This window comes from Homo sapiens, chromosome 4, assembly GCF_000001405.40.
Source record: "Homo sapiens chromosome 4, GRCh38.p14 Primary Assembly".
Lineage (NCBI taxonomy): Eukaryota > Metazoa > Chordata > Mammalia > Primates > Hominidae > Homo > Homo sapiens.
The window spans coordinates 6,578,341-6,600,875 of NC_000004.12; the positions used below are offsets into that span (position 1 = coordinate 6,578,341).

Below are 22,535 nucleotides of genomic sequence, written 5' to 3' on the forward strand. Positions count from 1 at the left end.
CCATGCTCAGGAGCCGTAACTGGCTTTTTTCTCTCTGCCTGCCCATGTCAAGGTCCGCCAGCTCCTGGAGGAAGGACGCCTGGAATTTGTCATCGGAGGCCAGGTCATGCATGACGAGGCTGTGACGCACCTTGATGACCAGATCCTGCAGCTCACAGGTTTGGCCACCCTACCCTGCACCCAGGGTCCCTCAGGACCTCCAGTGGGGCTGGGACATGGTATCAGAACCCCCAGGTTCTGAGCTCTGTCTGCCCCTCTTAGTGGGGTCGGGGACCTTAACCAGTGAAAGCAGTGATTTGCTAGTGCCATATTCATGCCTCACCAAGGAAGTTGAATGTAGGGGTTAAGAGCATGGATGCTAGAGTCAGATGGTCTCAATATATCCTGGCTCTGCCAATTCCCTCCTCTGTGACCCTGGAAAGGAATGTAACTTCAGTTTCCTCATAGATAAAATGAGTTTGATGGTAATACCTACCTCAAAGGGTTGTTGTGAGTATTAAATGGGATAATTCAAATAAAGCACTTTAGTAGGATGTGGGTTCCCTAGTAAATGCTCAGTAAGTGTTTGCTGCCTTCCATCACAATTACCACCTTCAGCACCATAATGACCATGACTACTACCATCACCACCACCACCACGATGACCATCACTACCACTACCATCACCACCACCACCACCATCACCATCACCACTACCACCATCACCACCATCACCACCACCATCACCATCACCACCACCACCACCATCACCATCACCAGCACCACCACCATCACCATCACCACTACCACCACCACCACCATCACCACCACCATCACCATCACCACCACCACCACCACCATCACCATCACCAGCACCACCACCATCACCATCACCACCACCACCACCACCATCACCACCACCACCCTTCACCACCATCACCACCACCACCATCACCACCACCATCACCATCACCACCACCATCACCACCACCACCACCATCACCACCACCACCACCACCACCATCACCATCACCACCACCATCACCATCACCACCACCACCACTACCCTTCACCATCACCACCACCACCATCACCATCACCACCACCATCACCACCACCCTTCACCATCACCACCACCCTTCACCACCACAATGACCATCACTACCACTACCATCACCACCACCATCATAACTACCATCACCACCACCCTTCACCACTGCTATGACCACCACTACCACTACCATTACTACCACTACCATCACCACCATCACCACTACCACCATCATCTTCACCACTACAATGACCATTACTACCACTACCATCACCACCACCCCCTAAACACTATCACCATGATCACCACCCATCACTGTCGCCACCACCATCACCACATCCATTACTACCATCCCCTCCACAATCATCATCACCACCACCATGACCATCTCCCTCACCATTGTGTCCACTGTCCTCAGCACCATCACCCACAGTGCCGTGGGGCACTCTACTCACCATTTACCAAATGCCTTTCACAGTGACACCCCAGCCAATCCTAATGGCGGGCTGATGGTGAGGCATGGTGATGCCCAGTTTCATTTTGCAGATGTAGAAACTGAGATCCAAAGAAATGCAGTAACTCTCTCCAGGGTAGATGGCCAGGACTTGAGTCCAGGCCTAGGGACTGAAGCTCCGAGTCCACAGTCACTCCACTACAGCATGGGCCCTGATTTCCCCATTTGTAAAACATCCAGGCAGAGAGCAATGTTGTCAAAGGATGTTTTTGGCACTCTCCCTTTTCTCATCTGTAATCTGGAGTGTTCCCCTGTCTCAGTTTCTTACTGCCTTACATCTGGACTTTGCTCAAACCCTAGACTTGCCCTTCCATGAGAAGGAGGCGTGATGGACACAGCCCTACAGACAGAGCTCCTCCTGTGGCCAGGAGCTCAGCCCCTGCTTGTCCCCCTGCATCCCCACAGGCCCAGAGGTAACAGGGGAGGACAGCAAGGCTCAGAGGGAGCACCTTGCCCTCAGCCGCCTGCTGTGGCTCCCTGACTCCAGAGCCCCTGCTCTTTCACTCCCCCATGTGAAGTGTGGGCAAGGGATCTATCCCAACAGACTTCCCCCACACCCCTTCACAAGCCCACTGCCAGGGAATGTGTGACACTGTAGGCGTGTCCCCCACCTGCCTCCTGCCCCGTGCCAGCGAGGAGGCTCTGGGGCTGTTTCTCACCTGTGCCATTTCACGCAGTGCTCCCCCTCATTCTCCACCCTCCTCCTCAAGATGCAGCTGAGAAGCCCCTCCCGCAGGAAATCTCTGAGTCTCTGCAGTTCTGTGTCACCTCCCCACTTAACCGCTGAACCTCAAGATGCCCCTGGCAGGGACCCCCATCTGACTCATCTCAGCACCCAGCATAGGGTCTGGCCCAGACCACTGCTTACTGGGCAAGGCTGGGCAAGGGGTGGGCGCTGAACTGCCCTGCCCTGAGGGTACCCACCACTGGGGTACCTCGCCTCTGGCCTCAGCCCACCGTGCCTAAGTGCTGATACCCCAGCGCTGACCCTGCAGGTCTGACCTGGCAACTGGAAGCCTCAGGGAAGCTGAGGCTGTGTCGCTCTGGGGCAGGAAGAGCCTCCAGAGACACAAGAGACAGCGGCTGTTGTGAGGCTCCATTTCCAAACCTGTCCAAGCTCATGGGGCCCTCAGGGTACAGACATGTGGGTTTCTTTCATGATAACCACCTTGTTCTAGGTACAAGATGTACACGTATTTTTTTTTCAGTCCTCAGGGCAATCTGGTAGATGGGTAATCTTACAAATGCTTATTTGTAGAGAAGTTTGAGGCTCAAATGCTATCCAAATGTGCCCACCACCAGCTAAGTGATGGGACCCAGATCCAACCCTAGCCCGGCCGAGTCAGGAAGGTTACTTGTGGCTGAGCCCCTCTCACTGGCGGCTGAGCCAAGCCCTTTCCCATCTGCTATCTCTTAGTTGCCTCAGAACAGCCTGGTAGCAAGTGGTACTGTTCACAGCCCCATTTGACAGATGAGGAAACTGAGGTACTGAGAGATGCGGGATTTATATATATGCAGTAGGTAACAGAACTGGCGCTCAAGCCCATGTGTGCCTGGCCTGGGCTCTTTCCTTAACTTGTAGTCCCTAGGGCGGGGGCAGAGTGTGTGTATCAGACCACCCATCTCAGATGTCCCAGGCATTCTGGCTGTGAATTATGTCCACATTGGGCTGGTTTTCTCAGATATGTTGGGGTAAGAGGGGCTGGATCACCCCTCACTGCTTCCGGGCCCTTTATCCTCCATCTCACCTTGGTGGAGCCCCTGCCTCGAGGCAGGCCCTGGACAGCAAAGGAAGACAGGAGCAGGCTGGTGCAGCCTCTAGACCTCTGACCTTCTTCTTCGGGTATCTAGGGTGCCAAAGCATCTCCTCAACCAAGACCCACTCCTGGCTGCCCGCCAGGGCCTGGGGCACTGGGCCTGCCCGTAAGCTCACCTTTCCAGCCTTTACCTCCCCAACTCCTGCTCCCGGCAGTCACGCCAACACCACCTTAATTTTAGATGTGACATTTCTAGTGAGGGGAAAAGCATTTGTTCCCAGCACTGCAGTGTCAGGGAAAGGCTGGGTGTGGGCAGCGGCCCCCGGGGGTAAGAGCTTTCATGCCCCTCCCTGAGGGGACACTTTCCCAGCTGGGATGTTTAGCGGAGGCCCAGCAGAGTGGCAGGTGCCAGAGGGAAAGAACCCCTCACCCCTATCCTGAGGGGAGAGAGCCCAGCTCCCGCCTCAGAGGTGCTGAGAGGCAAAGGGTCCAGGTGAGAGTCAAGGAGACACCTTGGGCCATCCTGGATGACCACTGCTGTCCTGGCCATTCAAACCCAAGCTCTCAGCCCTGTCCCCCAACCCCACTCCCTTCCCACTGAATCCGCGATCCCTCTCCTGTGTCACAGACTCTCTTCCACCTTCTCTTGTCTCTCTGACTCCTTCCAGCAGTATTTAGTTGTTGTTGTTGCCGTTGCTGCTGTTGTTGTTGTTGTTAGACAGAGCCTCACTCTGTCACTCAGGCTGGAGTGCAGTGGCGCAATCTCGGCTCACTGCAATCTCTACCTCGCAGGTTCAAGCAATTCTTATGCCTCAGCATCCTGAGTAGCTGGGAGTACAGGCGTGCACCACCATGCCCAGCTAATTTTCATATTTTTAGTAAAGACAGGGATCTCACCATGTTGGCCAGGCTGGTCTTGAACTCCTGACCTCAAGTGATCCGCCCACCTTGGCCTCCCAAAATGCTGGGATTACAGACCTGAGCCACCAAGCCCGGCCCCCAGCAGTATTGAAAACACACTTAAATTGTCTCTCTTCAAAAAAAAATTTTTTTTAACATGGGGTCCACTGTGTTGCCCAGGCTGGTCTTGAACTCCTGACCTCAACATCATAAAGCAAGACCCTCCAGCTCAGGCTGTAATGGCATTTATTCCCACCACCCCCTCACCCCCCACCACCTCCCACTACTTCACCCTCAGCCCCTGCATCCTGGCCTCTGCCCTGCATGTGCTAGTGAGCTTGCTTGTGGCCTGGTCATTATACTGGTGAGGATACTGGTTCAGCAGCTTGAACAGAGACCAAGTGACTCCAACAAGAAGGAAGGTGTGTTTCTCTCCTGTGGAAGTCTGCAGTGCAGGCCACTCTGGTGATTGGGTGGCTCTGCTCCATGGAGTGACCCAGGGATCCACGTTGCTTCCATCTTGATGTTCAGCCATCCCCCACAGTGTTGCCTGCCTGAGTTGCAGTCTAGACTGGCTCACCCCACTGAGTTGTCCTTCCAGCAGCTAGGGGATAGGGAATGGTGGAGCCAGGGCAGGCAGCTTCCTTGTAAAAGGCGACCTAGAACCTGCCCACATCACTCCTCACATTTCCATTGGCCAGAACTTAATCATATGGCCTCCCTCAACTGCAGGGACTGCTGGGGAATAGAGTCTATTTTGCTCCCAGTCCATTGGCCAGAGTGGTGTCATGTGACCTCTACCAGTTGCAAAGGAGGCTGGGGAATGTAGTCTCTGGCTGGGAGTCCATTTGCCCTGCTAAAACCAAGAAGGAGTGTGTGGTTCTGTTACTAAAAGGAAGAAGGACAGAATGTATATCGGACGCCAATTAACAGTTTTGGTCATGAATCACCCTGAAGTCTCAGGAATGCTTTCTGCTGGACGGCCAGAAAACCTAAGTAAAGCTGTTAGTGGTGGAAGGTATCCAAGTTACCAGCAGCTAATCCGTACGGGTCTGCAGCAACCCCAGTTCTTGCCTCCTCGGAAGAAAGAATTCGACTGAGGGGCATAAGGCAGAAAAAGAGACTGAGGCATGTTTCAGAGCAGAAGTGGAAGTTTATTTAAAAAGGCTTTAAAATGAGAAAGAAAGGAAAATATGCTTGAAAGAGTCCCAAGTGGGCACGTGAAGGTCAAGTGCTGTATTGATCCTTGATCCTAGGACTTTATAGGCTGGTCCCCTTTCCCATGATTCTTCCCTTAGGCTGGGCTACCCGCACTCACAGTGCCCTCCTTACCCTTGGGAGGTGAGCACACGCACTGTGTTTAGGAAGTTGCACACATGCCCATCTGACGCTTTCTTCCCTTTTCCAGTGGAGTGTCCCTGGAAGGTCAAACTCCGCCATTTTGTCTCTTAATGCACCTGCTCGGGAAGTCACGTCTCCCTGGCACCTGCATTCAATTAACATGTTAGTGCAACAGGTGTGGACCATCAGGAAATGCCCTCTCCCTAGTGCTGGCTGCCAATTTCTCACTTCTAGAGAGGCAATGTGATAATTGCCAAACCATCACCCAACATTCCTAGTGGGTGGGGGAAGAGCCCTCCCCTGCCCCACTCATGCTTGTCTAACTACCTGTAACAAAGCGACTTGAGTCTTAAGAACATTTACTTAACAAGATGGGGATAGTTTGGGACTGGTTCTGCAGTACCTTGATATCTGTGATTCTCATGTCCTTACCCTTGTGGTCACGATATGGCTGCCATAGCTCCAGCCATCATGTTACCAGACACCACATTCAAGGCAGTAAAAGGAAGAGAGGGGGCTTTCTATACCCATAGTCTATTCTGTTGGATAAACTTAGACACACTAAAATGTTAGCATTTATTTGAACAAACAGTGATTCCTGAATCAGGAAGTACTAGACTGTGAGCAGTTCATGGCTCCACTAAGGGAATATGAGAGGGAAACGTCTATAAGGTGCTCCTGAAAGCAAGACAAAGAAAACATTTGCCTACAGTGAACAGTCCCTAGTTAGAGGTTGGTTGGCAGTTTCCGATGGGTCAAGCTTAAGTTCTCTTTTCCTGTTTCCACCAAGTTAGATTTGGGTTTGCTGACAGAGGAACTCGAGGCCTGGAGCCGGCTCAGCCTGATGGCCTCCCAGTTCATTACTTAACAATGCCCCTCCAGCTGCCAGACAGAGAGAACCAATATCTGACAGGAGGGAGTAAGCGTGCCACATTTGGCTTAGATCAACTGTGATTCGTCCCTTGAGGCTGGGCATGGTGCACCCTGAACAGAGGGAAGGTTCTGCGAGTGAAAAAGGGGTGCTGACTTGGCAGCCTTCAGCCTGCCCCCACCGGCTGCCCTGTCTGGTGCGAGGCCGTACCCTCCAGAGCTCCTGGCTCCTCTCAGTGCGGTGCTGTTGCCCACTCCCTCCTTCATCCTGCAGCTGGCACTCCCCCTGTGCTCCCCCCACCCTCTGGCTGCTCCTTCTCCATCCTCTCTGCTTACATATGCACAGCCTCCACCCACACTCCTAGTCCACGCTCCCCCTGATCCCCTCTCACCTCTGCTGTGCACCTGATGCCAGCCCCACTCCTCACCTCCCACAGTCATCCCCTGCCCTGTCTTGCTTGGCCTTGCTCATAGGTCTGACTGCTGCTCGGTCCCAGCATCCCAGGCCTCATCTGAGGCTCAGCCAGGGTCCCCAGGACTGCAAGTTCATCAGTGAAAGGCAGTTTGACTCTAGATCAGTTATGAGAGTTCTCTGAGGCACTGTTCACCAATCTTAAAGTGCAGATTATAACACCCATCTCTCAAGGTGTTAGAAAGATTATATTTGGGGCAAGGACTTGGGGAATGTTAATCAATGCCTTATACAAGTCTGGGGTTTTCTTTTTCCCTGCAGCACTGAACCCAATATCTGGTTCACTATGGTGACTCTTAAGTAATAAATGAATAAATGAATGGTTGGGTGATTCTGGCATGGAGTCCTTTGTATTCATGATCTATTTCCGTGTAGCAAATTGCCCCCAAACTTCTGAGAACAAACATTTCATATCTACAGCTCCTGTGGGTGAAGAGCTCAGGAGTGACTTAGCCAGGGGGTTCTGGCTCAGGACCTCTTGAAAAGTTGCCATCTGGGAGTCAGGTGGGGCAGTGTCATCTGAAGGCTGGACTGGGGCTGGAGGGTCTACTCCAGGCTGGCTCTCGCGGCTGTGAGAGGAAGCCTCAGTTCCTCGCCATGTGACTGGTCATGGCACAGCAGCTGGCCCCCAGAGCAGCGACCCAGGAGAGCAGGCAAGGGCAGCCACAGTAGAAGCTGTGTGCCCTTCACCTTCTCTCCTCAAGGGTACACAGGTACTTCTGCTTCACTGTGTTTGTTAGAAGTGAGTCACTGAGTCTGGCCACCCTCTAGGCCCTAAGCCTCACCTGTTGAAGACGCAGCAATAATTTATGGACATCTTTTCTTGTGGTTTTTTTTTTTTTGAGACAGAGTCTCACTCTGTCACCCAGGCTGAAGTGCAGTGGCAGGATCATGGCTCACTGCAGCCTCAACCTCCTGAGCTCAAGTGATCCTCCCACCTCCACCTCCCAAGTACCTGGGACTACAGGCATGTGCCACCACCACGCCTGGCTAATTTTTTAAATTTTGTGTGCATGTGTAGAGATGGGGTCTCACTATATTGCCCAGGCTGGTCTCAAACTCCTGGGCTCAAGCGATCCTCCCACCTCAGCCTCCCAAAGTGCCAGGATGACAGGCGTGAGCCACATTGCTGGCCTTGGACGTCTTTTGAACCACCGCACACTTAGGTTTGAAGTTCACCTTTAACCTTTTATTGTTGGTGATGTCCAAGACCTCCATAGCATCATCAAAATCAGTGCTCTATCCAAGTTCACACAAAAATCCTCACCCCTGCACGTGCTGTAACATGCAGGAACCTTAAGGACATTACGCAGAGTGAAATACGCCAGTCACAGAAGGACTGATGCTGTGTGATTCCGCTGATATCTACAGGCATCAAATTCATGCAGTCAGGGAGTAGAATGGGGGTGCTAGGGGCTGGGGGAGGGGCATAGGGAGTTAGTGTTTAATGAGGCCAAGAGCTTCAACTTGGGAAGAGGAGAACATTCTGGAAAGGGATGGTGGTGGTGGTTGTATAACAGTGTGAATGTAGTAACACTACTTAACTATACACTCACAAATTATTAAGGTGGTAAATTGTATGTTATATGTACTTCACCATGATTAAAAGTTAATAATTAACACCCTCACCTCTGCAGTTCTGCATGACCCTGCCTGGCCCAGTAGCTGGCACTGCAACCCACTGGATAGGCAGGGTCCCCTGGGGTGAGGATGGGGCCGGGAGGCACAGGCCCGCCCTCCAGGCACCAGCAGGGTGTTGCTGTCTTTGCAGAAGGACACGGGTTTCTCTATGAAACATTTGGGATCCGGCCACAGTTCTCCTGGCACGTTGACCCGTTTGGCGCCTCTGCCACGACGCCCACCCTATTTGCGCTGGCGGGCTTCAATGCCCACCTCGGCTCCCGGATCGACTACGACCTGAAGGCAGCCATGCAGGAGGCCCGGGTGAGTGGTGTGCCGCGTCTGCTGCCGCCCAGCGACCGCTCCTCCCTTCCTTCCTTGAATCAGAGCACGGTAGAAAGCTGCTGCTCTATGCCGAAGTGTTCGGAAATTCTTGGCAGCTGCATAGACCGCGGGGCTGTCCCCTAACCTTTGCTCTTGTCGCCTCCTCCACCAGGAGGGCCCCCCTCCCTGTACCCCAGCTTCTCACAGAGCTGCAGGCACAGCTTGGCTGCCTCCCGCTTCCAGACCCCTATCTCCATCAGCTGGGCCTGAGGCGGGGCTGACTCTTTCTTTAGGCCCCTCACAGGGACTAGAGCAGAATGGCACTCAGTAAGCAGGGGTGACAACTAGAGGAATGGCAGGGTGTGTTCAGCTGGGAGAACAGTTACCAGAGACGCTGTGATTCTTCAGGTGTGAGGGCAACTGTTACAAGACTTAAGTAGCAACAACAACCATGGTAGACGCTGCCTTCGATTGTGCCCTTGGGAGTCCCAGGCCTGGTACCAGGCCCTACTCATCCTTCATTTCTTTTTCTTTTCTTTTGTTTTTTGTTTTTTGGGTTTTTTGGGGTCTTTTGGGTTGTTGTTTTTTTTTTTTTTTTTTTTTTGAGACAGGGTCTTGCTCTGTCACCCAGGCTGGAATGCAGTAGCACAATCTTGGCCCACTGTAAACTCTGCCTCCCGGGTTCAAGCGATTATTGTGCCTCAGCCTCTCAAGTAGCTGGGATTACAGGTGAGTGCCACCACGCCCAGCTAAATTTTTTGTGTGTTTTTTGTAGAGACGGGGTTTCACCATGTTGGCCAGGCTGGTCTCGAACTCCTGTCCTCAAGCGATCCGCCCACCTCAGCCTCCCAAAGTGCTGGTATTACAGGCGGGAGCCACTGGTGCCCAGCTTCATCCTGCATTTCTTTTAACCCTCACAGCAACCTTATGGGACGGTGTCATCATTTGCTAGGGCTGCCATAACAAAGGACCACAGACTGGTGACTCAAGCAATAGAAACATATTGTCCCATGGTTCTGGAGGCTGGAAGTCCAGGGTCAAGGTGTCAGCAGGGCCACGCTCCCTCTGAAGGTGTGAGGGAAGGGGCTGCTCCAGGCCTCTCTCCTTGGCTTGTGGATGCCCCGCTTCTTTCAGTGCCCCCGTATCATCTTCCCTGGGTGCATGTTTGTGTCTCAATTTTCCTTTTTTCTGAGGACACCCATCCTATTGTATTAGGGCCCACCCTAATGACCTCATTTTAACTTGATTACTTCTGTAAAGACCCCATTTCCAGTGGGCACAGTGGCTCACGCCTGTAATCCCAGCCCTTTGGGAGGTGGGCAGATCACATGAAGTCAAGAGTTCGAAACCAGCCTGGCCAACATGGCAAAACCCCGTCTCTACTAAAAATACAAAAATTAGCCGGGCGTGGTAGCAAGTGGCTGAAATCCCAGCTACTCAGGAGGCTGAGGCAGGACAATCGCTTGAACCAGGGAGGTGAAGGTTTCAGTGAGCTGAGATCGTGACACTGCACTCCTGGGTGACAGAGTGAGACTCTGTAAAAAATAAAAAATAAAAAAATAAACTGCACACTTGGTGAGAAGTAATGAGCTTCCTGCACCTGGGGGCATTCAAGCAGAGTTAGAAGGTGCTAATTCTACAGGGTTTGGCAGAGAAAAGCCTGCATCGAGGAGTGGGTGGGGTGAATGAGCACTCCTTCCGGAGGGCAAATCCCACAACCAGTCTTAGACGGAAACGGCAGGGGAGAGCTCATCCTTGAACCACTGAGGGAGGGCCAAGGTGAGGGCAGGCGGGAGACACCCAGATGGGGCTGAGGGAAGTGGAGCTGGGGCAGCCATGTGGCCCCTCCAGCCTCATTCTTCTCCTCGGTTTGCAGGGGCTGCAGTTCGTGTGGCGAGGGTCCCCATCCCTCTCAGAGCGGCAGGAAATCTTCACGCACATCATGGACCAGTACAGCTACTGCACCCCGTCCCACATCCCTTTCTCCAACAGGTACGTGCCCTTCCGCAGTGCCTTTGGGATCTCAGACAGCAGGGTCTGCCCAGCCCCTGCAGCTGTTCTGCAGTTTTGTTTTTGTTTATTGGTTTTAAGACAAGAGCTTCTGCTCTGTTGCCCAGGCCGGAGTGCAGTAGCGCAATCTTGGCTCACTGCAACCTCCGCCTCCTGGGTTCAAGCGATTCTTCTGCCTTAGCCTCCTGAGTAGCTAGGATTATAGGCACCCACCACCACACCCAGCTAATTTTTGTCTTTTTAGTAGAGAGGGAGTTTCACCATGTTATCTAGGCTGGTCTCAAACTCCTGACCTGAGATGATCCACCTGCCTTGGCCTCCCAAAGTGCTAGGATTATAGGCATGAGCCGCCGCGCCCAGCCCTATTCTGCAGTTTTTGACAAGAGCTCCTTAAGCACATGGTGTCCCATTCTTCAGCCTCCCCAGCAGAGTGGGTGGGGTTATCAACCCCATTTTACAGATGTGGAAACTGAGGTTCAGAGAGGGTAAGTGACCAGATCAGGGTCACCCAGCTGGTAAGTAGGGGAGGCAGGATTTGACTCCAGTTCTGTGTGACTCTGAATTGCTTCTTGTTATGAGTCCCTGTCCCAAAAGAGGATTGTTTAAAGGATGAGATCTTGGCTGGGTGCGGTGCCTCATGCCTGTAATCCCAGCACTTTGGGAGGCTGAGGCAGGACAATCACTTGAGTCCAGGAGTTCAAAACCAGCCTGGGCTTCCTAGTGAGAACCTATCTCTACAAAAACTTAAAAATTAGCTGGGTGCATGCAGTCCTAGATGCTTAGGAGGTTGAGGCAGAAGGGTCGCCTGAATCCAGGAGTTGGAGGCTACAGTGAGCTCTGATGGTACCACTGCACTCCAGCCTGGGCAACAGAGTGAGAACCTGTCTCTATTTAAAATAAAAAAAAAAATAGGCCGGGCACAGTAGCTCATGCCTGTAATCCCAGCGCTTTGGGAAGCCAAGGCAGGTGGATCACTTCAGGTCAGGAATTTGAGACCAGCCTGGCCAACATGGCAAAACCCCGTCTCTACTGAAAATACAAAAAAAGAAAAAAAAAATTAGCTGGGTGTTGTGGCGCATCCCTGTAATCCCAACTACTTGGGAGGCTGAGGCAGGAGAATCACTTGAACCCGGGAGGCACAGGTTGCAGTAAGCCAATATTGCACCACTTGCACTCCAGCCTGGGCCACAGAGCAAGACTCTGTCTCAATCAATCAATCAATCAATCAATGATGAGGTCTTTACATCAGTGTTCCCAAGAACCTCCTTCCTGGCCATGACAGGTCCCCTTCTGCTCTCGCCTCGCCTGTCCGTACCTGCCAGGTGAGGAAGTTGAATGTGCTGACTTCCAGGAGCCATCCATCGGCACCCCATCCCGTCCACGGTCCTCCAGGGCACTGTCCAGTGTCTCTCTAACACCCTCCAAGCTCACCTGCCCTCAACCCCAGTGATCTCCCTGCCTCTATCCCGCCTGGGCCTGGAGAGCAAGCTGGGTTCCAGGCTGCAGGTGCAGGGATAGGGGTGCTGTGGATGCAGGGGGAAGGCCCCCGGACATGGGTGTTTCCCCACCCGTTCCTGACGTGGCCTGGCTTTGTTGTTGGGGCTTTGGCACAAGGCTTCGTCCCCACCCACCCTTTCCCCTCCTCATCCTTGTCCCTATCAGGGATCACAATGAAGAAGGCCGGAGGAGGCCAGGCGCAGTGGCTCACACCTGTAATCCCAGCACTTTGGGAGGCCGAGGCAGGTGGGTCACTTGAGGTTAGGAGTTTGAGACCAGCCTGGCCAACCTGGTAAAACTCTGTCTGTAGTCAAAATACAAAAATTAGCCAGGCATGGCAGCATTGCCTGTAATCTCAGCTACCTGGGAGGCTGAGGCAGGAGAATCACTTGAGCCCACAAGATGGAGGTTGCAGTAAGCCAAGATCATGACTGCACTCCAGCCTGGGTGACAGAATCAGACTCTATCTCAAAACAAAAAAAAAAGAAGGCTGGAGGAGTGGGAGAGGGAAGGGGCCTGGAGACCCTTGGGAATAAATCGCTCCTCATCCTTGTCTTGCGGAGCTGCCTCTTGTCCAATCACCTCCCGTTCACCCCGTGGTGAGGGAGGGGTCCTCACCCTAAATGGTAGATGGTTGAATACACACCACCCTACCCAGCACAGGTGACGTCCATAGCAGCTTCTGTTTATCACATACAATCACAGCTCACACCTTACTCGCCAAGGCCCCGTGGGAGTGCACTGTGGAGCGGACTGAACACGCAGGGGCAGCTGGGTAGCAGCAAGGGGGCGGGTGCCCTCCGACTCCTGCAGAGGACGTGAGTGGCTCATTTGAATAATTTCACCAGCTGGCAGGGAGGTGGAAACTGTTGGGTGGAGGACCAGGTGGGGTGCAGCTGGTCTGACTGATAGTGGAAGAGCTAGACAAGAGGACTTTTCTGCTGGTGGGGGCTATCAGGTGACAGCAGGGGACTCCTAGGCCCCTGGGGGCCTTCAAGGCTCAGATGTCAAGAAGCACATGGGATTTTAGCCTCGCTGTACACCTTCTTCCCCAGAAGGCTTTGGGTGAAGACTCAGTGGGGACCAGGAGTGTGGAGCCATGGACCAGGACCCCCCGGGGGCAGAGAGGATAGGCAGTGAACCCACATTCACATTCCTGGCTTGCTGTTCCAAGCACCCACCATGAGCCAGGCCCTGTTCCAAGCATTCTCCCTGTGATACCTCACAGACCCTCGCAGCAGCCCACTGACGGAGATGCTGTGAGTGCCCCATCTTACAGAAGGAAAAACTGAGGCACAGCAGCCCGCCCCAGGTCCCACAGCTGGCAGACGTGGTGGAGCCAGCGTTGGATTCAGGCCACCAGCTCTGCAGCCTCCACGTGGTGGCAGCAGTCAGCCTTGGTCTCTGTGCAGTCAGACGGCCCTGGGTTCAAATCCGCACTCTGCCCTGGCCAGGTGCTTAGCCTCTCTTGGAAGAGGAAAGACAACAGGCAAGGCAGAGGGGGTGAAGAACACTGGCCGGGATTAATTAGCGGTCACTGCCATTTGTCAGCCCTCCTTTGTGCCCAGCACTGTTTCTAGCTCCTTTCCATAAATGACTTTCATTTAATCCTCACAACAACCTGCTCCACATTCTACCAGGGAGCTTGGTGAGGCTAGAGGTGGCAGTGCTGGTGGCTGATGACTGTGATCCCAATGCTTTGGGAGGCTGAGGTGGGAGGATTGCTTGAGCCCAGGAATTCGAGACCAGCCTGGGCCACAGAGCAAGACCTCGTCTCTACATAAAATTCAAAAACAAGTCGAGCATGGTGGTAGTCCCAGCTCCTGGGGAGGCTGAGGCGATGGCTTGAGCCCGGGAGTTCGAGGCTGCAGTGAGCCGTGATCATATCACTGCACTCCAGCCTGATCAACAGAGCAAGACCCTGTCTGTAAAAGAAACAGAGGTGGGAATGCTGGAAGGGGCTGCCCAGGTTGGAGAGCTCCAGACAAGGGTTCCATGGCTGCTACCCCGAGGCTGCACAGTGTGAGCAAGGAAGGCACTTAACTGGGGGTTCTCCACACCCCCAGCCTAAGGCAAACAGAGAAAGATGTTAAATACTGAGCCTGTCTTTATTTAAAACTCTGACATTTTGTTCCTCATGGGTTTTTTGCATTAATTTTCATTTTTTAAAGTACTGCATTAAAATATCATTTATCTCAACTACTAAGAATTGAGGCACCCCCATAAATTTTGTGCCCTAGGCCAGGGCCTCACTTGCCTCACCAAGCCCCCGGCCTCTTTGGGGTCCTGAGACCCGGGGTCTGATGGGCGAGAAGTTGGCCTGCGTGAATGAGCAAACAAATCTGTGACCCACCGTCGGTCATGGAGTGGGAGAATTCAGTCTCAGGGTGAAATGATGTGCCAAGGTCCCAAGGCTGGGAGAACATGGCACTTGGGTGTGAGCCCTGGCTGTCCACAGAGTTCGTGTCTTCTGCCCTAACCTTCTGCCCTCGCACAGGTCAGGATTTTACTGGAATGGCGTGGCTGTCTTCCCCAAGCCTCCCCAAGATGGGGTGTACCCCAACATGAGTGAGCCTGTCACCCCAGCCAACATCAACCTCTATGCCGAGGCCCTGGTGGCCAACGTGAAGCAGAGGGCCGCCTGGTTCCGGACACCGCACGTCCTCTGGCCCTGGGTAAGGCAGAGTCCCAGGTGCTGTGCCCTCAACACAGCCCAAGGAGCACTATGCAAGCCCTGGTCCCTGCACCCAGGGCCACCCTATCCAGACCCAGCTAGGCAGCCATGCTCAGCCCAGTGGCTCCATCCTCCTTCCCTGCAGACCCCTGGGCCTCTCCCACTCTACCAGCCCCTCCCCCACCTGGAAAAGCACCCTCACCCACGCTGGCCTCTCCAGCTCCCACTCAGCTCTCTTCCCTGCCTGGGCCGGGCTGGCTCCCGGCTCGGGCACTGCGTGCCTTAGAGTCCATTGAGCTTCAGTTGCCTCCGCTGTAAAATGGGGATGGTGGCAGCAGGCTTCATAGGCTTGGTGAGAGGTGAAGCGTTCCCGGGAAGCCAGTGCCCGGCACGTCGTGGCCATCGTCACAGCTAACCTTTAGTGAGCACCTGCTGTGTGCTGGGCACTGCCCCGTGGGATATATTTGTCTCAGCCATCTAATTTGCACCACTGGGCCTAGGAAGCAGGCTGGTATCCATTTCACAGTTGAGGAAACCAAGGCCCAGAGAGGTTAAGGAATTTTCCTGAGGCCACAGAGTTCCTTAGGGTGGCTAGGAAGGGGTGGAATTTGTGTTCAGACCCAGTCAGGCGGGCCCCAGAGCCTGCCTTCTTCATCCGTGACTGCCCTTGTGAAGGCAAGCTTAAGATCAGTAACTCAGTCATGGTTATTATTGCTGTTATTAATCATTATATTAATTATAATAATTAATAATCATTAATTATAATGATTTGGATAAGTAGTAACACTGATGGGCCTTAAGAGATGCCCAGGGCCGGGCGCTGTGGCTCACACCTATAATCCCAGCACTTTGGGAGGCCAAGGCAGGCAGATCACCTGAGGTCAGGAGTTCGGGACCAGCCTGGCCAACATGGTAAAACCCTGTCTCTACTAAAAATATAAAAATTAGCCAGGTGTGGTGGCGCCTGCAGCCTCAGGGAGGCTGAGGCAGAAGAATCACTTGAACCCGGGAGGCGGAGGTTGCATGAGCCGAGATCAAGCCACTGCTATGGGAGCTGGTTTGGGGCCCCTGTTGGCCGCCTTGGAGACTGGGAGGGCAGCTGGTGGAGGGCAGCGATCGGCCCACCCCCACTGGGCGAGCGCCCTGCTCCCACGGCACAGGATGTTGCTCCCATGTCCCTGCAGGGATGTGACAAGCAGTTCTTCAATGCCTCGGTGCAGTTTGCCAACATGGACCCGCTGCTGGACCACATCAACAGCCATGCTGCCGAGCTCGGTGTCTCGGTGCAGTATGCCACGCTGGGCGACTACTTCCGTGCCCTGCACGCTCTCAATGTCACCTGGCGTGTCCGCGACCACCACGACTTCCTGCCCTATTCCACAGGTACAGGCTTCCAGGGGCTGGGGTGGTAGTTTGGTGGCAGGGAGGGTATAGTCCACGTACCCTCTGCCCACTTCAGTGGCTGCTCGGCACTGCTCTCCAAGCCCTGGAGGGGTTCCAGGCAGGTTCTGTGTGGGGCGCAGGGGCAGAGACTGACCCTCTCTGCTCACTCCACCTGGACGTCCTGGCCACCACATGCACCACCTGATTCCCACAGGGTTCAGCCTCTCACCATTGCCCACCACATGCAGTTTCCTGCCTCTGGCCTTTGCACAGGTGGTGCCTCCTGCTGGGAGCGGCCTCCATCACCTTCTCTTCCTGCATGAGTTCCACATAAACCTCTTCTACGAGCCCTTTCCTGATGCTGAGGCTGACTCGGGCTTCCTTTCACTGCACAGTCATTACTGGGCACCTCCTGTGCATCATGCCTGTGTCCTCAGGCCAGAACTGGGTTGGCCACCAGCAGCACAGCCTGAGAGCTAAGAGGGCTGGCTGTGAGTAAGCCTCTACTCGCTGCCTGTGTGCAAGTCATGAAACCACCCTGTCTCCAAAGGGGGACATTTGTGGTGCCTCGTGCATAGATAGGGTTGCTGTGAAAATTCAATGAGAAGAAGTGCTCTCAGCCTCCTGCCCAGCACAGAGGCAGGGCTCAGCAGATGTCCTAGACCTCTGGGTGCTGCTGTAACAGTATACCACAGAATGGGTCATTGATTAGGAAACGAAGTTTCTTTGGCTCACAGATGTAGAGGCCGGGAAGTCCAAGGTGGAGGGCTGGTGTCTAGAGAGGGCCTTCTTTCTGCATCACCCATGGCTGAAGGCTGAGTGCAAAAGAACAGCCGGACAAGGGGGTTGAACTTGCTTTTCTAACAATCCCAGTCCCATGACAATGACATTAATCTGTTCACGAGGGCAGAGCCTTCATGGCCTAATCTCCTCTTAAGCATCCCACCTCTTAATACAGTCACAATGGCAATTAAATTTTAACATGGGTTTTGGAGGGGCATTCAAACCATAACATTTCCCTTCCAAAGAGATGCCACAGATGAACTCCAGCTGCAGGGCTCATTCTGGCCTGGGCACTGCCTTGACTCACCCATGACCTGGCTTAGTCCTGCCTCTCTGGGCCCCAGCCTCTGGGTCTGCATGGTGACCAGTGGGGCTGCATAGTCCCCGGCTCCTGCTGTTGACACCACATTGGAGGCAGGTGGGGCTGCACACACGGGTTGGGGGATGTCCGTGGATGTGGGTGTGGTTATAGTCAAGGCAGGAGGAGATATGTTAATGTGGGCATGGCTAATGGTGAGGTGGGTGGGGTAGTGACTGTGGGTGTGGCCACATCTAGCAGGTAGGGATATACCCGAGTCAAGTTGGGTGTGGCTCTGTCCAGGTGGGCGTGGTGTCCAGGTGGGCGTGGTATCCAGGTGGGCGTGGTATCCAGGCGGGTGTGGGTGGGCGTGGCGTCCAGGTGGGCGTGGTATCCAGGCGGGCATGGTATCGTGATGACCACTGAGGATGTGGAGCCCCTGCCAGACTGAATGGAATCGGGCCTCACCACCCACTCTCAACATGGCTGCAAAGCTGTGGAGGACCCCATCTGACCCACAGGGTGTGGCCTGTCCCCTGGGCCATGTGACCACCCCTCCCAGTCTGGTTCAGGACCAGTGGGGGAAGAACAGGGAATCAAGGCAAATCTGGGCACATCCCAGACGCCGAGGAGCAGGAAAGCAAAAGCAATAGGAAGCTCCCTTCTGAGACAGACAGCCACTCCCTGGGAGGGTTCAGCCCTCCTGCCTCCTGCATGGGCCCTGGGCATCCTCATCCTCTCTGTCTTGCATCAGGACACTGGCTCCCTGGGGTCTCTGAGCCCTTGCTGCCTCCTACCATCCATCCTCCCTGGACGCCCAGAGAATCCCTGCTGAAACGCATGCCTGTCCTGGCCTCCCCATGCCCACGTCACACATGAAGGCCTCTGTGCAGTCTAGGCCCTTCTCAGTGGGGTCCTGCCCACCTGGCTCCTCCTCTTCCCCTCTGGGTCTCCCAGGCCCTTTGCTCACACAGCTGTTCTGTGTTTCCTAGGCACCCTGGGCTTGCCTCCGATCAGGATCCTTCAGCACCCCACCCCACCTGCCCCAGTGCAGCCTGTCTCTCCCACCCTGCCCAAGGCCCATCCAGGGTTTTCTGGGCAGTTCCTAGTCTGGCTATGGGAGGAGGCCTGAGTTGGGAGCCGTAAGCCCTGGGCTCGCTGCCTGCCCGGCCTGCCTCCTTGGGTGACCCTGGCAGAGGCTGCCTCTGCAGCCCCAGCTTCTCAGCTCTTCCAGGGCTGGAGCTTAGCAGACTTCTGGGTCATGCCGTCTCAAGCTCACCATCTTCCCTTGTCTCCCAGAACCATTCCAGGCCTGGACGGGCTTCTACACGTCCCGCAGCTCACTGAAGGGGCTGGCCCGGCGAGCCAGCGCCTTGTTGTATGCCGGGGAGTCCATGTTCACACGCTACCTGTGGCCGGCCCCCCGTGGGCATCTGGACCCCACCTGGGCCCTGCAGCAGCTCCAGCAGCTTCGCTGGGCCGTCTCCGAGGTAACACCACATTTAGCCACAGTGGCAGGATTGGAACCTCCCATGCTGCGCACCTCCCCTCCCTTGTCCTAGCCAATCCTTCCAGCCCTGGGGCACTAGAGGCCCCACTTTACAGAGGGGAAACTGAGGTTCCCTTTGGTTACAAGGCCAGTGCATGGTGAACCCAGGCCAAGGCTGAGACCACAGCCTGATCCATCCAGCTGGTGGCCTCATTAAGCTTTGTAGCAGTTTAGCAAAAGGGATAAAGGACAAGGTGGAGTGGCATTTGTGTCCGACAGCCCTGCCTGCATCCATATCTCGGCTCAGCTGTGTGATGTCAGGCACATGATTCCCACACCCACCCAAGACCTAATTCCCTCCTGTACAATGAGAACAACGAGCTTGCCCAGGAGGACGGTGGGGCAATTGGATGTGCTGGTGTGCACAGCCTGCTTGGTGCAGTGGCTGCTGAATAGCCAGTTCATGAGTTTCCGTCTCCACCCATCCCCTACTGTACTGATGGGAAAACAGACCCAAGACAGCCTGTAACTTGTCCTCAGTCACCTATCCAAAAAAGGGTCACACCAGCCATGACACTGTAACAGTTCCCCAAAAGGAGCTGCTGGCAGAACATGTCATTATGTTGTGGGAGAAATGAGGTGACTTCAGGGTCCTTCAGAGCAGGGGGTCCAGAGATGGGGGACAATGAGTTCCCACAAGGGCAGGAAAAGTTGGGCGAGCTCCTCAGCTTCTCTTGGCCTCAGTTCCTCCTTCTGTAAAATGGCGGGGACTGCCCCCTTCTCCACTGGCACCTGGCAAGCCAGAATGAGAGCCAGCGCCTAGTAGGTGCCTTGTAGGTGCTTTGCAGAGTCAGGTCCTGATCCTGTTCTTCCTCCCCTCTGGGGGTTGCTGCAGGTCCAGCACCATGATGCCATCACTGGGACTGAGTCCCCCAAGGTGAGAGACATGTACGCAACGCACCTGGCCTCGGGGATGCTGGGCATGCGCAAGCTGATGGCCTCCATCGTCCTAGATGAGCTCCAGCCCCAGGCACCCATGGCGGCCAGCTCCGGTGAGCAGGGCCCTGCAGGGAGGCTGTGGCCCCTTTATGAAGGGAGAGCCTGAGGAGGTCAGGGGAGGGGCTCAACGACCCCAGCTTCAGACTCTGAGTCCACATCACCCATATCGCCCTTCCCCATGGTGAGAGCTCGGACAGGTGGCTTCAGTCCTCCCAGCCTCTGTTTGCTCATCCGTGCAATGAGGAAGGGTTGCTGATGTTACAAGAAGAGCCAGAAATAGCAGCTAACATGTTTTGAGCATTTACTAAGCTCAAAATACCCTTCATGCAGTATTGAATTTAATGCCTCACAAAATCTGTACAAAATAGGAATGGTTACTGTCCTCATTTTACAGCCGAGGAAACGGACTCAAGTTATATGCTAGCCCAGGGCCACTCGGGTAGGAAGGAGCAGAGCAGGGATTGAACCTGAACACGGTGCTGCCCAGCCTTGGCAGAGAGTACGCCGGTGTCCTCAGGGGCCCGGTCCCTTCCTGGCTCCTGGCACTCCCTCCCGAACTCCACTTGGCTGACATCACAGCAGGGCAGCCGTGGGACCAGCCTCTTTGACTGTGAGTTTTCCCACGTGTAGAGTGACTGATCACATGCCAGTGTGCCTGGGACTGAGGGGTTTCCAAACTGGGAAGATCCTGGACAAATGAAGACAGGTTGGCGGCCCTCCGCCCGCATGAGACTTTTGTGTGCATAGGCCGCCAGGTCCCACCCACAGCCTGCACCTGGTCATCTTGCACTTCCTTCTTGTTTTTTGTTTTTTGAGACAGGGTCTCGCTGTGTCACCTAGGCTGGAGTGCAGTGGTGCCAGTCATAGGTCACTGCTGCCTTAGACTCCTGGGCTTGAGCGATCCTCCTGCCTCAGCCTCCCAAGTAGCTGGGACTACAGGCATGCACTACCACACCTGGCTTATTGTTTTATTTTTATTTTTTTTGGAGAGACAGGGTCTCACCATGTTGCCAGGATGGTCTCCTAACTCCTGGGCTCAAGTGGTCCTCCCACCTTGGTCTGTCAAAATGCTGCTATCTGGCCAGGCATGGTGGCTCACACCTGTAATCCCAGCACTTTGGGAGGCCGAGGCGGGTGGATTACGAGGTCAGGAGATCGAGACCATCCTGGCTAACACGGTGAAAACCTGTCTCTACTAAAAATACCAAAAAAATGAGCCGGGTGTGGTGGCGGGCGCCTGTAGTCCCAGCTACTCAGGGGCTGAGGCAGGAGAATGGCGTGAACCCAGGAGGCGGAGCTTGCAGTGAGCCGAGATCGCACCACTGCACTCCAGCCTGGGCGACAGAGCGAGACTCCGTCTCAAAAAAAAAAAAAAAAAAAAAGTTCTGGGATCACAGGCAAGAGCCACCATGCCTGGCTGCCTTGTACTTCTTGGTGTCCCAGCTGTGGCCTGCCCACTGCCCTAGCATCTAACATGCCCTTCCCCTCCCATCTCTGTCTGTGTGTAATCCCATCCAACCTGCAGGCTCTGGAAGGCCCCCTGGCCTCAGGAACACCAGCCAGGTGGAAGAGACAGTGGCAGAACGGGAGCTCTCAGCTGGGGTCTGGCTTCACTGCCAGGTGGGGACTTTTGAGGAGCTGTCATTCCAATGAACACACAGGAGAGGCTTCCCCAAGCTGTGAATAGGTAGAGAAGACCAGGAAAGTGTCCCCAGCAGAGGGAACAGCCCAGGCAGAGGCAGGGAGGCTGGAAGTATGTGCTGGGTTCAGGGATCCAGGAGTTCTCAGGTGTGGCCAGACCTCACACACATGGGCTGGTAGGATGCAACAGAAAGAGAGGCCAGGTCCTCATCACAGGGACCTAAAATGCCAGGCTAGGCAATGGACTTGACCCTCTGGGCTCCAGAGAATTCTCTGGTGGCTCACAGTGCCCAGCACTCAAAGCTTTGCAGCCAGGCCTTAGAAGCTGGGTCACCTTGGGCAAGTGGCTGTACTTCTCTGGACCTGTTTCCTCATCAGTAAAATGGGCTGACAGAGATGTGTGAGGAGCGAATAGAACCTCAGTTCTCCAGGGCGACACGGACACCTTATGTTCCGAGCCCCTCCGCCTGCCCTGCCCTGGAAGCCAGACTGCAGAATGTAGCCCACGCTGTGTCTGTGGGAAACACCTGTTGGCCTGCCCCCTTCCTGGCTCCCCTGGGAGTTCTGGAGGGCTGCATCTCACCTACCTCAGTTTCCCTCATACTGAGGTGCAGCCAGTGAGCACCCCATTCCAGAAGGTGAGTCACATGGCACAAGCAAAGCCTCTTCTCTGTGTGCAGATGCAGGACCTGCAGGACATTTTGCCTCGGTCTACAACCCGCTGGCCTGGACGGTCACCACCATCGTCACCCTGACTGTTGGTTTCCCTGGAGTCCGCGTCACAGATGAGGCGGGCCACCCAGTGCCCTCGCAGGTATGGACACAAAATCCTGCTGGAGGGGCCTTAGCTGCTTGCTGAACCTGCTCTGGGCCGGGCACATTGTCTCTTCTGACCCTGCAAGGGAGGCCTTATCACCTTTGTTTTACAGAAGA

The 22,535-nt window shown here is 54.6% G+C and overlaps 1 protein-coding gene across 2 annotated transcripts in view, besides 1 other annotated feature; it reads left to right on the top strand.

Moving 5' to 3' along the window:
* Positions 1–22,535, top strand: part of MAN2B2 (mannosidase alpha class 2B member 2) — a 48,174-nt gene that overhangs the window by 3,152 nt on the left and 22,487 nt on the right. The window contains exons 3-10 of one of the 2 annotated variants that reach the window (NM_015274.3): positions 53–158; positions 8,656–8,828; positions 10,705–10,820; positions 14,833–15,010; positions 16,194–16,392; positions 18,773–18,963; positions 19,858–20,014; positions 22,283–22,416. In NM_015274.3, coding sequence (NP_056089.1) covers positions 53–158; positions 8,656–8,828; positions 10,705–10,820; positions 14,833–15,010; positions 16,194–16,392; positions 18,773–18,963; positions 19,858–20,014; positions 22,283–22,416 — 1,254 coding nt within the window. The remainder of the gene's footprint in view (positions 1–52; positions 159–8,655; positions 8,829–10,704; positions 10,821–14,832; positions 15,011–16,193; positions 16,393–18,772; positions 18,964–19,857; positions 20,015–22,282; positions 22,417–22,535) is intronic. The other variant, NM_001292038.2, reaches the window with a different exon arrangement.
* Positions 14,968–15,467: an enhancer, noted in NCBI's record as "H3K4me1 hESC enhancer chr4:6595035-6595534 (GRCh37/hg19 assembly coordinates)". NCBI's record gives its function as "activates a minimal SCP1, AML or CMV promoter by ChIP-STARR-seq in naive H9 embryonic stem cells {active_cell/tissue: H9 hESC(naive)}" and the evidence as "EXISTENCE:reporter gene assay evidence [ECO:0000049][PMID:30033119]".